General features: G+C 39.4%; 1 long non-coding RNA gene across 1 annotated transcript in view; it reads right to left on the minus strand.

The window, feature by feature from the left end:
* Positions 1 to 486: 486 nt before the first annotated feature.
* The window catches only part of CCDC18-AS1 (CCDC18 antisense RNA 1), a 35,703-nt gene continuing 19,141 nt past the window's right edge, over positions 487 to 17,048 (minus strand). The window contains exons 6-9 of the long non-coding RNA NR_034089.1: positions 16,980 to 17,040; positions 16,147 to 16,273; positions 15,013 to 15,107; positions 487 to 1,986 (exon numbers count right to left, since the gene is read on the minus strand). This is a non-coding gene — a long non-coding RNA (CCDC18 antisense RNA 1). The remainder of the gene's footprint in view (positions 1,987 to 15,012; positions 15,108 to 16,146; positions 16,274 to 16,979; positions 17,041 to 17,048) is intronic.

Consider the following 17,048-nt stretch of genomic DNA (forward strand, 5'->3'; position numbering starts at 1 on the left):
ACCCCATCTCTACTAAAAATAGAAAAATTAGCCGGGTGTGGTGCTGAGCACCTGTAATTTAGCAACTCGGGAGGCTGAGGCAGGAGAATCACCTGAACTCGGGAGGCAGAGGTTGCAGTGAGCCGAGATCGTGCCATTGCACTCCAGCCTGAGTGACAGAGTGAGTTTCTGTATCAAAAAAAAAAGAAAAAAGAAAAAAGAAAAGAAAAGAAAAAGAAAAGAACTATTGTTATTTTTTGGAAGACATTTTGGTTTTACTAAATAAACATTTTTTGAGCCTCTACCAAGTACCTGTGGATTCTAAGGTGAATAAGATGCATTTTTGTTTTGTGGAGCAGGTGGAAGAATGGAGAATGAGTTTTTTGTTGTTGTTGTTTGTTTTTACAAAGGCCCCAGAGAGGGTAAGTTTTGTTGGGTTGTGAAAACTCTTTGAAACATAAGCACATTAATAATTATGGAATCATTTCACACATCTGTTTTTTACTTCTTTTCACACTTCATCATGTGTGTTCAACTTTATTGATTATAATATTTAGATATATAATTTCCAAATTAAAATTTTAAGATGGGATAATATAGTAATTAAGAATATAAGCTTTAGACCCAGAATAACATTGATTTAATTATTGTGTTCACTTCTTCTTTAGAATTGTAGACAATTGTTTTGTCTTTCCAGAACAGCAATCCCTATTTTTCAGTGAAATGCTTCTTCAAACTGCGTGATTCTCATGGAAGCTGCCACAGCTAGTATCAAACTGAATGGTGAAAAACTGAAAGCCTCTTTTCTAAGATCTGGAACATGGCAAGGATGCCCACTTTCATCACTGTTATTCAACATAGTACTGGAAGTCCTAACTAGAGCAATCAGACAACAGAAAGAAATAAAGGCATCCAAATTGGAATAGAAGAAATCAAACTGTCCTTGTTTGCCAATGATATGATCTTATATTTGGAAAAACTGAAAGAGTCCACCAAAAAACTACTATAAACAAATACACAAATTATAAACAGATTCAGTAAAGTTCCAGGATACAAAATCAACATACAAAAATTAGTAGGATTTCTATATGCCAACAGTGAAAAATCTGAAAAAGAGATTAAAAAAGTAATCCCTTGCTGGAAGTGGTGGCTCATGCCTGTAATCCCAGCACTTTGGGAGGTCGAGGTGGGCAGATCATCTGAGGTCAGGAGTTCAAGACCAGCCTGACCAACGTGGTGAAACCCTGTCTCTACTAAAAATACAAAAATTAGCCGGGTGTGGTGGCGGGCACCTGTAATTCCAGCTACTCAGGAGGCTGAGGCAGGAGAATTGCTTGAACCTGGGAGGTGGAGGTTGCAGTGAGCTGAGGTTGCGCCATTGCACACTAGCCTGGATGCCAAGGGTGAAACTCCGTCAAAAAAAAAAAAAAAAGTAATCCCATTTACAATAGCTACAAGTAAAATTAAATACATAGGAGTTAATCCAAGAAGTGAAAGATCTCTATAATGAAAAGTATAAGACTGATGAAAGAAATTGAAATGGACACCAAAAAATGGAAAGGTATTCCATGTTCATGGATTAGAAGAATGAATATTGTTAAAATGTCCATACTACCCAAAGCAATCTACAGATTCAACGCAATCCCTATCAAAATACCAATGACATTCTTCACAGAAATAGAAAAAAAAAATTCTAAAATTTATATGGAACCACAAAAGACTCAGAATAGCCAAACCTATCCTAATACCACAAAACTGGAGGAATCACATGACCTGGTTTCAAATTATACTGCAGAGCTCTGGTAACTAAAATGACACGGTACTGGCATAAAAACAGACACATAGACAAGTTGAACAGAATAGAGAACCCAGAAACAAACCCACACACCTACAATGAATTCATTTTCAACAACGGTGCCAAGAATATACACTGCAGAAAAGACAGTCTCTTTAATAAGTGGTGCTGGGAAAACTGGATATCCATATGCAGAAGGTAGCTACAGCCACCTGTTAAGAGATAGAAAATATAAAAATATGTAAATAGAGAATACATAAAGTTAAAATGTAGGGGGCATGGAATTAAATTATTGAGATTTTGTTTTTCTTTTTTTGTCTATTAGCATTTTTTGTGACAAGATAAATTATAATCCCTTTAAAATAACTTTCGTTGTATCTATAAGATGTTTTCTTAGAAGACTCATGGTAGCCACGAGACAAAAACCTATAATAGATTCATGAGAAATAAAAGGCAACAAATTAAAACACGTTACCAGAGAAAATCATTTACCCACAAAGGAAAACCATAAGAAAGGAAGAGAGAGTTTACAAAACAAGTAATAAATTGGCAGTAGTAGGTCTTTATCAATATTAACACTGAATGTAAATGGACTCAATTCTCCAATTAAAAGGCACAGAGTGGCTGAATGGATAAAGAAACAAGCCCCAACTATATTCTGCCTAAAAGAAACACAACTTCACCTATAAAGACAAACATAGACTGAAAGTGAAGAGGTGGAAAACAGATATTCCATGTAAATGAAAACCAAAAAAGAGCAGGATTAACTATACTTAAAAGATAAAATAGACTACAAATCAAAGACTGTAAAAAGAGACAAAGAAAGTCACTATATAATGACAAAAGGGTCAATTCAGCAAGAGGATATAACAGTTATAAATATCTATGCACCTACCATTGGAGCTCCCAAGTATATAAAGCAAACATTAAGAGATCTAAAGGGGGCTGGACGCGGTGGCTCATGCCCGTAATCCCAGCACTTTGGGAGGCCGAGGCGGGCGGATCACGAGGTTAGGAGATCGAGACCATCCTGGCTAACACGGTGAAACCCCATCTCTACTAAAAAAAATACAAAAATTAGCTGGGCATAGTGGCATGCGCCTGTAGTCCCAGCTACTCAGGAGGCTGAGGCAGGAGAATGGCGTGAACCCGGGAGGCGGAGCTTGCAGTGAGCCGAGATTGTGCCACTGCACTCCAGCCTGGGCGACAGAGCGAGACTCCGTTACAAAAAAAAAAAAAAAAAAAAAAAAAAAGAGAGATCTAAAGGGAGAGATAGACTGCAATATGATAATAACAGGGGACTTCAACACCCCATTCTCAGTAATGGACAGATCATGCAGACAGAAAATCAACAAAGAAACATCAGAGTTAAATTACACACTAGACCAAATAGGCTTAACTAACATTTATAAAACATTTCACTCAATTGCTACAGAATACACATTCTTTTCATCAGCACATGGAACATTCTCCAGATTAGAACACAGCCCACAAAACAAGTCTCAACAAATTCAAAGTAGTATAAATTATATCAAGTTTTTTTTTTCTTTTCTTTTCTTTTTTTTTTTTTGAGACATTGTCTCACTCTGTTGCCCAGGCTGGAGTGCAGTGGCATGATCATGGCTCACTGCAGCCTCCGCCTCCCAGGTTCAAGCGATTCCTGTGCCTTAGCCTCCTGAGTAGCTGGAACTACAGGCATGCACTACCACGCCCAGTTAATTTTTTGTATTTTTAGTAGAAACAGGGTTTCACTATGTTGTCCAAGCTGGTCTCAAACTCTTGAACTCAAGTGATCCACCCACCTCGGTCTCCCCAAGTGTCAGGATTACAGGCATGAGCCACTGCTCTCAGCCTTCAAGTATTTATTCTGACCACAATGGAATAAAACTAGAAACCAATAACAAGAGGAACCTTGGAAATACACAAACACATGGAAATTAAACAACATATTCCTGAACAAACAATGAGTCAATGAAGAAATTAAGAAAGAAATTTAAAAATTTCTTGAAGCAATGAAAATGGAAATTCAACATATTAAAATCTATGGGATACACCAAAAGCAGTACAAAGAGATAAATTTATAGCAACAAACAAATATATGAGAAAAATAGAAAGACTTCAAATAAACAACCTAACTATGCTCCTCAGAGGACTAGAAAAGCAAGAACAAACCAAGCCCAAAATTAGTAGAAGGAAAGAAATAATAAAGATTGGAGAATAAATAAATGAAATTAAGACTAAAAAATACAGAAGATCAATGAAATGAAATTTTTTTTTTTTAAAGATAAGGCCTGGGGCGGTGGCTCACGCCTGTAATCCCAGCACTTTGGGAGGCTGAGGCGGGCAGATCAGGAAGCCAGGAGTCCAAGACGGTCTGGCCAACATAGTGAAACCCCGTCTCTACTAAAAATACAAAAAATTAGCCAGGTGTGGTGGTGTGCACCTGTAATCCCAGCTCCTCAGGAAGCTGAGGCAGGAGAATTGTGTGAACCTGGGAGGCAGAAGTTGCAGTGAGCCTCGCGCCATTGCACTCCAGCCTGGGCAACAGTGTGAGACTCTGTCTCAAAAAAAAAAAAAGGATAAAATTGACAAACCTTTAGCTAGACTAACAAAAAAAGAGAAAAGACTCAAATAAATAAATTCACAAATGAAAAAGGAGACATAAGAACTGAGACCACAGAAGTACACTCATTAGAGACTATTATGAACAACTATATGCTAACAAATTGGAAAATTTAGACAAAATGGGATAAATTCTTGGATACAATCTACCAGGATTGTACCATGAAGAAACAGAAGACTTTAATAGACCAATAACAAGTAATGAGATTAAAGCAGTAATAAAGTCTCCCAGCGAAGAAAAGCCCAACAGCTGAGGGATTCACTGCTGAATTCCACCAAACAGTTAAACAAATACCAGTTCTACTCAAAGTATTTTTAAACACTGAGGAAATACTTTCTTTTTTTCTTTTCTTTTCTTTTTTTTTTTTTAGATGGAATCTCACTCTGTCACTTAGGCTGGAGTGCAGTGGCACAATCTCAGCTCACTGCAAGCTCCAAAGAGGAGGAAATACTTTCAAACTCATTCTACAAGACCAGCATTACACTGATACCAAAACTAGACAAAGACATAACAAAAAAAGGAAACAACAGGCCAATATCCCTGACCAACACAGATGCAAAAGTCCTCAACAAACTATCATAGTATTATAGTAAACTGAATTCCACAACACATTAAGAAGATAATTCATCATGATCAACTCGTATTTATTCCAGGGATGCAATGATGGTTCAACATATCCAAATCCATAAACGTGATAAAACACATGAAAAGAACCAAGAACAAAAACCATACGATTGATTGAGTGGTTGAGACAGGGTCTTACTCTGTTGCCCAGGCTGAAGTGCAGTGGTGTGATCATAGCTCACCATAACCTCAAACTCTTGGGCTCAAGTGATCCTCCTGCCTTAGCCTCCTGAATAGCTAGGATTACAGGTGTAAATCACCACCCCTAGCTATTTTAAACATTTTTTGTAGAGATGGAGTCTCACTATGTTTCCCAGGCTGATCTCGAACTCCTGGCCTCAAGCAATCCTCCTGCCTCAGCCTCCCAAAATGCTGGGATTACAAGCGTTAGCAACCACACCCAACCTCTGATCATTTCAATAGATGCCAAAAAAAGCATTCAATAAAATTCAACATTGCTTCATGATTAAAAACCCTCAATAACTTGAGTATAGGAAGAACATACCTTGGCCGGGAACGGTGGCTCATGCCTGTAAACCCAGTACGTCGGGAAGCTGAGGTAGGTGAATCACCTGAGGTCAGGACTTCAAGACCAGCCCGGCCAACATGGCGAAACCGCATCTCTACTAAAAATACAAAAATTAGCCAGGCATGGTGGTGTGCATCTGTAATCCTAGCTACTTGGGAGGCTGAGGCAAGAGAATCTCTTGAAACTGGGAGGCAGAGGTTGCAGTGAGCCGAGATCACGCCACTACACTCCAGCCTGGGCAACAGAGCAAGACCCTATCTCAGAAAAAAAAAACAAAACCTACCTCAAAATAATTAAGGCCATATGTGACAAACCCACAGCTAACACTGTATTGAACAAGCAAAAATTGAATGCCTTTCCTCTAAGAATTGGAGGAAAAACAAGGATGGCCACTTTTACCATTTTCATTCAGTATCATCCTAGAAGTCCTGGCTAGAGCAATTAGATAAGAGGAAGAAAGGACATTCAAATTGGAAAAGAAGTCAAATTAGCCTTGTTCATAGATGACATGCTTTTATACTTAGAAAACTCTAAAGAAAGACTTCACCAAAAAAACTCTTAGAACTGATCAACAAAATCAGTAAAGTAGCAGGATACAAAATCAACATACAAAAATCAGTAGCATTTAAAATATGCCAGGAGCAAAAAAATCTGAAAAAGAAATCAAGAAAGCAATCCCATTTACAATAGCTACAAAGAACATAAAATACCTAGGAAACAGTTTAACCAAAGAAGGGAAAGATCAACACAAGGAAAAGTTATAAAACACTGATGAAAGAAATTAAAGAGGACACAAAAAATGGAAAGATATTCCTTGCTCATTGATTGGAAGAGTTAATGTTGTTAAAATGACAATACTACCCAAAGCAATGTACAGATTCAATGTAATCTCTACCAAAATATCATTAACATTCTTCACAGAAATAGAAAAAAAAATCCTAAAATTCATATGGAACCAAAAAAGAGCCTGAATAGCCAAAGCAATCCTGAGCAAAAAGAACAAAACTGGAGGCATCACACTACCTGACTACAAAATATACTACAAAGTTATAGTGACCAAAACAGCATAGTACTAACATAAAAACAGACACATAGACCAATGGAACAGAATAGAGAGCCAAGGGCTGGGCACAGTGGCTCACACCTGTAATCCCAGCAATTTGGGAGGCTGAGGCTGGTGGATCACTTGAGGTCAGGAGTTTGAGATCAGCCTGGCCAACATGGTGAAACCCTGTCTCTACTAAAAATACAAAAAATTAGCTGGGCATGGTTGCCCACACCTGTAGTCCTAGCTACTCAAGAGGCTGAGGTGGGAGAATAGCTGGAACCCGGCAGGTGGAGGTTGCAGTGAGCCGAGATCGCACCACTGCATCCCAGCCTGGGAGACAGAGCGAGACTCCATCTCAAAAAAAAAAAAAAAAAAAAAAAAAAAAGAGCCAAAATATAAATCCACACATTTACAGCCAAACTTCTTCCACAAAGGCACCAAGAACATACAATGGGGAAAGGACAGTCTCTAATAAATGGTGCTGGGAAAACTTGATAACCATATGCAGAAGAATGAAACTAGACCCCTATCTCTTACCATATACAAAAATAAAATCAAAATGGATTAAATACTTAAATGTAAAACCTGAAACTGTGAAACTACGAAAATAAAACATTGAGGAAATGCTCCAAGATATTGGTCTGGGAAGATTTTTGTGGCCTCAAAAGCATAGGGAACCAAAGCAAAGTTGTCAACTGAGATTACATCAAGCTAAAAAGCTTCTGCACAGCAAAGGAGACAAATAATAATGTGAAGTGATCGCCCACGGAATGGGAAAAAAGATTTGCAAACTACCCATAATAAATAATTGTTAATTCTTTATTAATTTATTTAACCCTAACTGATTTTCCTGGCTATTAGGAAACTCAGAGCTTAATTTGTGGTTCATCTTTAAAAACTGAGCATGCTTTTGTGGTTGTGCTTATTATATATATTAACCTTATACATCTCTACTCCCAACAAAGCCAGCTTTATCTTATTTTATTCTGGTATTTTCTCTGCTAACCCATTAAATTATGGCCCCTTAGTGAACCACATCTCACAGTGTTCCCACATTTGTATGGTGCTTTTCCTTAAATATGGGCTAGGCCTGTGACTTGCTTCAACAAGTGGCATGTAGCAAAAGTGACACAGTGCCAATTCCAGGCCTCAACTTTAAGGAAGCCTGGCAGCTTCCGTTTTTGTGCTATTTGAAGCTCCGAGCCACATGTAGGAAGTTTGGCTACTCTGCTGCAGAGACCACATGGAAAGTGCTACATATGGAGGTCATGTAAAGAGGAAGAAGCCCTGAAACTACATGGAGAAAGAGAGAAACTCAGTTCAGCCTCCCAGTGTTCCAGCTGAGCCCAGCCTAGATTGTGGAATCATGAGCAAACTAATGAGTTAACCAATTAGGTAAAGAAGAAATAACCAAATGGTCCCATTCCAGAATGCCCACCCAAGCCCTTCCTCTTTCTTTAGGATGCTGTTTCTGAAAGTCTGGCCTGAAGACCACCTGTATCAGAATGACCTGGGGTGTTTATTTGAAAGAAAAATTGTCAATCCAACCCCAGAATTTCTTGGGCAAGGCAGGATAATCAGTATCTTTAACAAAACTTTTCCAATTGATTCATAAGGAAAATAAAGTTTAAGAACCTGGTTAAGGGCTTTCTCCTGACTGTTCTCCACACTAATCTAAGCCTACCCTTCTTTTTGACAGTCTATTACTCTATTTTCAGAAGTTTGATCCTGCTGTTCCTCAAATGCTGGACCAAAATTCTAGATCAAGGAATTTCTCATGCTATTTTCCTCTCACCTATCCAGCTCTGTTCTACTTGGTTCATTCACTCTGTATCCACCTTGTCTTCAGGAGCTCTGATTTTGAGGTGCTTCTCATGTCTCAGCTAAAGAAACTCAGGCCTAAAAAAACTGAAATCCCTGACTGTGCAGATTAGTTCTGGTTCTTACCTTATTTTTCAGGCCAGCCACATCAGCTGTCCTCATCCTTAAAGTATCATGATGAGAACTTCTGAAACCGAATACAGTTAAATATAAGGACAGAAAAATATCTGATGGTTTTGTCAATTAGATATTGGTAAACTCAGTGAGATCAATTTAGGGGTGCGTTAAAGGAAAAAGATTTTGCAGTAGGTTTAAGAAAGTTTTTAACAAGGTAGAAAAGACTGAGCATGCTTGCAGGTGGAGGAAAAAGAACCAGGAAGGAAGGAAAAGTTGGTAATAAAATAATGTGTGGTTGAGAAGGTAGCATGAACCAGAAGGGATGAGAATTGATTATAAAATAAGGTCCCAGACAAAGAGGGAAGGTGTTTTCAGTTTTCTATTGCTATATAATAAATTATCCCAAATTTACCCATTTTATTATATATCATGATTTGAGGGGCCAGAGATTTCGGCAGGGCTCAGCTGGGCAATTTCTCTGCCCCACGATATCCTATGTGGTTACTTGCCAGGTTTGCTGGTAGATGGGTTAGTCTCAAAATTCCAAGATTGCTTCATTCACATGTCTGATATCTTGGCAGGAGTGACTGGAAGGTTGGGCTCAGCTAAGAATGTCAATAAGAGCACCTACAGATGGTCTTTCCAGGGTACTCTTAGGGTGACTGGCCTTCTTACATGATGGTTCAAGCTTTCAGAGAGGATATTCCAAATATCCTGGGCAGAAACTATTGGTATAAGTCTTCTTATTACCTCATCTCTCGGATCCCAGAATGTCACTTCTGATTAATTCCGTTGGTCAAGTCACTGACTGGCCTTACTGACTCAGCCCAGATTCAAGGGAAAGGGAATTACACCCCACCTCTTGGTAGAAGTGTCAAAGAATTTACAGTCATTTTTAATCTGCTATAGAAGAGGTGAATTGGATAAGATCAGAGAATATAATAAAAGATTTGCCTTGGACATGAAGACAGAATACTGCTAAATGTTGGAGTATGCAGAACTCTGGTCCTCGGCTCCTCTCTTTCTATCCAAGTGTAGGGAATGCTATGCATTTACAAATTCGTAAACTTTCTTAAAACATTATGAGATATTGTGTGTGTGTGTGTGTGTGTGTGTGTGTGTGTGTGTGTGTGTGTGTGTGTGTGTTCTATCCCAGAGTAGGGAATGCTATACATTTATAAATTCGTAAACGTTCTTAAAACATTATGAGATATTTTGTGTGTGTGTGTGTGTGTGTGTGTGTGTGTGTGTAGCTCATCAGCTATTGTTAGTGTTAGTGTATTTTACGTGTGGCCCAAGACAATTCTTCTTCCAACATGGCCCAGGGAAGCCAAAAGATTGGATACCCCTTCTATATTGTCTCCCTAGGTGATCTCGTCTAGACTCATTGCTTCAAAGAACTTTATATACTGATACCTTTCAAGTGTATATCTCTAGACCCAAGCTCCTTGCCTGAGCTCCAGAACTTGTATATCCAACTATCTACTCAGCATATAACTTGGATGTCTAATAAGCATCTCAAATTTAACATGGCCAAAACCAAGCTATCGGATTTCTATCACACCCCAAGTCTGCTTCCCCTGAGCCTTTCCGGTCCTAGTAAATTACACAATTATACACTCAGTTGCTCAGGACAAATACCTAGGAGCCCTATTTGTCTCTTCTCTTTTCCTCACACAGCACATTCAATCCATCAGTATCTACTTCCAATTCATCAATAGGTTCCATTAGCTCCAACTTCCAAAATATATTCTGAACCTAACCACTTCTTTCCATCTCTACTCTTCCAATCTAGGTCAATGCCATCATCACTTCTCACTGGTCTCTGTGGCTGCACTCTTGATTCCTCATTGTCCTTCCTCTATCCACATAGCAGCCAGAGTCATATTTCTAAAGCGTAAACCAGAGAATATAATTTCCTTGCTTAAAATTATCTAAAGACTTCCCATTGCATCAGAATAATCAACAAACTTCTCATCAGAGTCTATGAGGCTCTCCAAATCTTGCCCCATCTGTGTCTCTGACCTCATCTCTCTCCACTCTTCTCCTTGTTCATTGAGCTCTAACCACTCTGATACTCTGTCCCATGAACACACCAAGTTTGTTCATGCTTCAGGCCATCCCACCTCTTGCTCATTCTGCTTGGAGAGCCCCCCGGATCTCTTTTTATCACTTGGGTAATAAAAAGATTCCTTGTTTTTATCACTTGGGTCAGTGGTCCCCAACCTTTTTGGCATGAGGGAACAGCTTCATGGAAGACAATTTTTTCCATGGACTAGGGTTATGGGGGATGGTTTTGGGATGATTCAAACACATTACATTTATTGTGCACTTTATGTATATTATTATTGCATTGTAATATATAATGAAATAATTATACAACCCACCATAATGTAGAATCAGTGGAAACCCTGAACCTGTTGCAACTAGAAAGTCCCATCTGGGAGTGATGGTAGACAGTGACAGATCATCAGGCATTAGATTCTCGTAAGGATCATGCAACCTAGATCCCTTAAATGCACATTTCACAACAGGGTTTGCCCTCCTATGAGAATCTAACGCCTCTGCTGATCTGATAGGATGCAGAGCTCAGGCAGTAATGCGAGTAATGCGAGTGGTGGGGAATGGCTATAAATACAGATAAAACTTCGCATTCACATGCTGCTCACCTCCTGCTGTGCAGGCCGGTTGCTAACAGGCCACAGACTTGTATGGGTCTGTGGCCTGGGGGTTGAGGACCCCTGATTTAGGTGATACAAAGTGACTCAGATGTCACTTTCTCAGCCCTTTCCTGACTATCACAGCTAATGTAGTATCCCATCTCCCTGAGTCACTTTTCTCACAATACCCTATTATAGCTTCATAATGTTGATCAGCACCTGAAGTTCTAATTCATTTTTTTCTGTATGTTTATTGGCTGTCATCCCTCATTAGAACGTCAACTCCTGGGGGGCACAATTGCTGTCTGTCTTATTTACAGCTCATTCTCCAGTACCTTGAACATCACAGACAACAAAATCAACACACAATAGATGTTTATTTAAATTGGCTATTTCTTTCTTCTGGAAGGAGGTTAAAGGAAGGTGGGAAAGGCAGGGCGTGGTGGCTCACGCCTGTAATCCCAGCACTTTGGGAGGCCAAGGCAGAAGGATCACTTCAGGTCAGGAGTTCCAAACCAGCCTGGCCAACATGGTCAAACTCCATCTCTACTAAAAATACAAAAATTAGCCAGGCGTGGTGGCATACACCTGTAATCCCAGCTACTCAGGAGGCTGAGGCAGGAGAATTGCTTGAACCCGGGAGGCGGAGGTTGCAGTGAGCTGAGATCGCACCACTGCACTCCAACCTGGGCGTTAGAGCGAGACATCGTCTAAAAAAAAAAAAAGGGTGGGAAAAAGAAGGAAGACCCCCTTTTCTCTGTGATTTGGGACATAAAGTGGCTGATAATGAGAAACAGTGGGACAGGGTTTTAAGAAGGGTAATGAATTATTCTTGACTCTTCCTTCAAAAGTTGTATTTGTAAAAAACCAGTAGTTGAGAGTTTTGTTGTTTCAATTCTAATTATCATTTCTTAAAAAGTAATTTTATGGAAGAAACAATTTGAATTTTTACCCCTTTAGGTAGCATTGGCTTTCAAAAACACCAATCTCATGTCTTTTACATTCTTGGCCTGGAATTGAATTATGTGAATCTACTGGTTTTGTTTTCCACCCTCTTTATAAGATCTGCTATATCTGGTCCTGATAACACAAGGTCAAGGTCCAGGAAAGAACAAATGTCAATGCTTTCTTTCCTCATGGCCCTTCATTATAGCCTTAGTGAGTCCTTTCACGCATCCATGTCCACACATCTCTGTTTCTCATCAATACAGCCTGTGTGTTTTGAAAGCATGCAATTTATGCCTTTATATCCCTGCTTCTCTTTTTCCTATCAGCAAAATCTATGTGTTTTTTAGGAATTAAATAAGTATATTTTTCTTATATGTATTGGTCATTTTCTATATTTGAACAGTAAGTTCTACTCAACGTATATCTGTGCTGCAAAATTAATTTTCGTACTCAAATTTTGAATGGTGTTTCTTAAAATGACTTTTTTAACACTTTCTAATGAGGTGGTTTTTATTGGCTGACATATACCATTCCTCTAGAATGTTGCTGTGAACTAGATGTGAATTTATGAAGGTGATGAAAATAGCAATTAAGCTAAGAACTACTTCTGGCAGGTAAGAGCATGGTTAATTATTTTCCTTAAAGAAATGCACAAATATATTAGGTTGGTGCAAAAGTAATGGCATTGAAAGCAATGGCAAAAACCGCAATTACTTTCGCATTAGCCAAATACATAGCCAAACAACTTTTGGAAGCCAGACTAACCTGCTGGACATGCTGAACCAGTTTTAGTCTATTCCAAAAGTGGAAAGCGACATGTATGATTCATTCCTGAGACATTTCAAAGAGCCAAATATGTTTATACATGATATAGCATGTCAATATCTTCATGAAAGCTTTTGACTTGCCTTTTTACAAAAGTCTATATGCTGTTTACAAGTGTGGCTTAAGAACCAGAATGGACATGGACATGCATTGGTAACTGGTCAGCAACCAGGTAAATTCCTGTAGCGTCTTTGCTCCTAGCCTACAAATGGGCTTTTTAAGAATAAGCCTCTCACCAAGAACCCACCAAGAGCATTAAGAAATGAAAACATTGCTCAGACCTCTTTTAGCCTGCTCCCGATCTGGAATCTTGATTAGAGAACTTATTTTTAGAGTTTTCCGCATTTGTTCAACTACATGTGTAGGAGGAAAGAACACAGTATCAGTCCGAATGTGTGTCTGTGACTGTTCTCTCGCAAACTGGGGGCTGGAAGTTTAGGGAAACTGTTTTCTCGGATCCAAGCAGAATCTGGATGTAAACCATTTCTAGACTAATATCGGTTTAATTAATTCTTGTGAATCTCCAAAGATTCTACAGCTTGTTTTGGGATACAGCAATTGTTACACCAACCCACCCAATGTAACCTTTATTTTCTGAGGCCACACTTGGGGATTTTGGGTACATGGATAACAAGTTCCCACCCTGTCCTTTCTTTATAAGGACAACCAACGTGTGAGGTTTCTCCCATTTTCATGGGTCCCGAGTGGCCTCCCAGCCCTGGGAGCTTTCTCACCCTTCTGCCAAGGCTCCAGCCAGGACTCTGCACTAGTTCTCCCCCTGCTCCTGCTGGGGCTCTACTCAAAGTTGATAGGGGTGGGGTAGGGAGAGGGATTCCTACCTCCTTCCTTCTGGTGCTTGTAACAGCTCTCTGAGCTGAAAGCTGGCCCTTAGGCTAACTCAATTTAATCCTCCAAGAGGCAGTCTTTTTCTTTAAGCTTTTCTTCAGTTCTTTATTAAAGACTTAAGTTTTCTCAGAGACTAGGCCAGAGAAACGTTGAACTGTATCATAACAAATAATTCATCACATGCAGACAGCTGCTGTCCTAACACTAGCCACAAATCTTAGTTTTCTGCTACCTTAGATGAATTTCCTGCCCTCCCAGGCAGCCCCATTCACTTTCCCTCAAAATGGCTGGAAAAAGTCTCTTCTTATTTGGTTTAGGAAATATAATCATGGTATTCTAGGGTAATAATCATCACTCCAAATTCTTGTATCATTTCTTCCAAGAAGCTTTGAGACCCTCATGCAAATAATACTCTCTTATTCTGATATCTCTGCCTTTCCAAAGTGAACTTGTAGTTTATATATCTTTCTTTTCCCCTATTTGACTAAGGTGGGCCTTGTCCATACAGAATCTTCAACACTGTCCCAAGCTTCATAGAATTCCCAAGGAACTATAGTATGCACCTATGCCCTGTTCTGCACAGCAACTTGGCACCAGCTTCTTCTTTCCACTAGTCTCAACTTATTACAGTCCTTCCACCCCAACCAACTCCTACACTCAAGATCTTGACTACAGAGCTCTGGAATATTAAAAGCAACCACCACTAGCATACTGTGTGCAGAAAAAAAAAAAGTTTGGAACCCTTGGATTTAAATGATTTAGCAAAGACAGAAAAAAAAAATGTATGCTTTGGAGGCAAAATAAGTAAGATTTTCAAATCAGTATTCAAAAATACTTTTTCATTGTCTATTAATTGCAAACAAAACAGGATTTTAGTTTGTCACCACCATAATCCAAGCCCCTATCATGTCTTGCCTAGACTCCTAAAATAATTTTCCTACTTGTATTCTTTCCACCTCCCAACACATTCTCCACACAATATAGTGCTCTTTTAAAACTAAGTCATGTCACTTCCTTGTTTAAATCCTTTTGATGGCTGCCCATTTGACACAGCATAGAGTCAAACTCCTACCATAATCGTAATGGTAGTAATTAATAATAATAATAGATAAGAATAGTAGTAGGTTACCCCTATTATTCCCTATCATTGGACTTTGTTACTTCCTTCACAACATTAATTTCATTGTATTTACTTACTTGTATGTTGTTTGTCTCCCCAGCTTGAATATGAGCTTTCCAAAAGCATCAGCACTGTTTGTCTTATGTTGGATCCTTATCTCCCAGCATGGTGCCTGGTACGTATTAAGCAATCAGTAAATGTTTATTAAGAGAATAAAGTTTTAGGATTTAAAAGTAACTTAGAAACCATCGAATCCATCTAGTCCCTTTCCCCAATTCAGGGCTTAATTTTCAGCCCTCTGTAATGCAGAGGCTACTTGGATAGCAGTGTTTATGCTGGTGGAGAACAAAAAAGAACAATAGGGAGGAGCTGTTCCCTTTCCCTAATTGATTTTACCTTACTTGTTCCTACATCAGCTTTGCTTTTTACCACTTAGACAAACAGTCATATGAGTCATTTATTCATAGCCAAGCAGCTTAATCATGCATGTGGGCACTCCTTTTTGTGTGTATGTGGAGGGTGGAGAGTTATAGTTGAGTAGTTTCCAAACTAATGTTCATCTAGCTATTTGTGGAATCGTAAAGATTTTGTCTATTAGAGGCATGAGCCACCGCGCCCAGCCTATGCTCCCTCTAACAATTCTTTAATGTAGTATTTTCTAAATTATAAGCTTTGACTCATCATTGCGTATCATAAAGATAACTATGGTCTCATGAACTTTCGTTTCAGTCATAAATGTGACTGTATGTGTTTGAACTGTCTTGCTATAGATGCAAAATATATTTCTTACTGTGGGAAATAAACAACAAAAGTCTGAAAGCCACTGCCTAAATGAGCATTAATATAATATCTTATCTTAGAAAGGAGACTATTTGGTAGTCCTAGGAGAGGATTTGGGTTGACCTCAGAGCCCTCTTAGTCAGGGCTCTGAAGCTATTATGGATTAAGGTGAATGAGAATGGTAATTCTTTCTTTCTTTCTTTTTTTTTTGAGATGGAGTTGCCCAGGCTGGAGTGCAGTGGCAAGATCTCGGCTCACTGCAACCTCCGCCTCCTAGGTTCAAGCAATTCTCCTGCCTCAGCCTCCCAAGTAGCTGGGATTACAGGCATGTGCCAGCATGCCTGGCTAATTTTTATATTTTTAGTAGAGGCAGGGTTTTGCCATGTTGGCCAGGCTGGTCTCAGACTCCTGATCTCAAGTGATTCACTCACCTCGGCCTCTCAAAGTGCTGGGATTACAGGCATGAACCACCACGTCTAGCCTTTTCTAAGTGAAAGCACTATTTTATAGCTTGCAAACACTGTTAGAAAAATCTTCTGGAAGCACGGTATCAGTTATCTGAAATACATTACAAATACAACAAACACATTATTATTTTCATTAGTTCTCCATTACTTTTTTCCTTTGGCCCAACAGATTAGTACCAAAATGGCCTGGGGTCTAGTAAAAGTTGGGGAACAGGGGAAATGGGTGAAGAGAATTAGGCCCAAAAAGAACATGATGGGCTATCCTTTTTGTGCCAATTTCCTTCTTATCGCTTCTTTTTTTTTTTTTTTTTTTCCTTTTTGAGATGGAGTTTCCCTCTTGTTGCCCAGGCTGGAGTGTAATGGTGCGATCTCGGCTCACCGCAACCTCTGCCTCCTGGGTTCAAGAGATTCTCCTGCCTCAGCCTCCCGAGTAGCTGGGATTACAGGCATGTGCCACCACACCCGGCTAATTTTGTATTTTTAGTAGCGATGGGGTTTCTTCATGTTGGTCAGGCTGGTCTTGAACTCCCGGCCTCAGGTGATCCACCCGCCTCAGCCTCCCAAAGTGCTGGGATTTCAGGAATGAGCCACCGCGCCCAGCCCATGGCTTCTCCTTTTACAGTGAAATAGGAAACAAGATCATCTGCTGAGAATGAGGATGAGGGAGGAGGTATTGAAGGCTTGAGAAAAGAAAAGGCAAGAGGTAGTGGAAGAGTGAATGGACTAAGGAAACATAGTCTGGCTATGGGCAGCATTAAGGGATATGTATTTAAAGCAGGTCCAGTGAACATGTTTACCTGTTCAGCTGTGAGATGCAGTAGTTAGAGAGCTGACTTTTACCAGAGATGAAAGGAAATTCTATTTAG

The sequence above is a fragment of the Homo sapiens genome, chromosome 1 (genome assembly GCF_000001405.40).
Source record: "Homo sapiens chromosome 1, GRCh38.p14 Primary Assembly".
In the NCBI taxonomy this organism is placed as follows: Eukaryota; Metazoa; Chordata; class Mammalia; order Primates; family Hominidae; genus Homo; species Homo sapiens.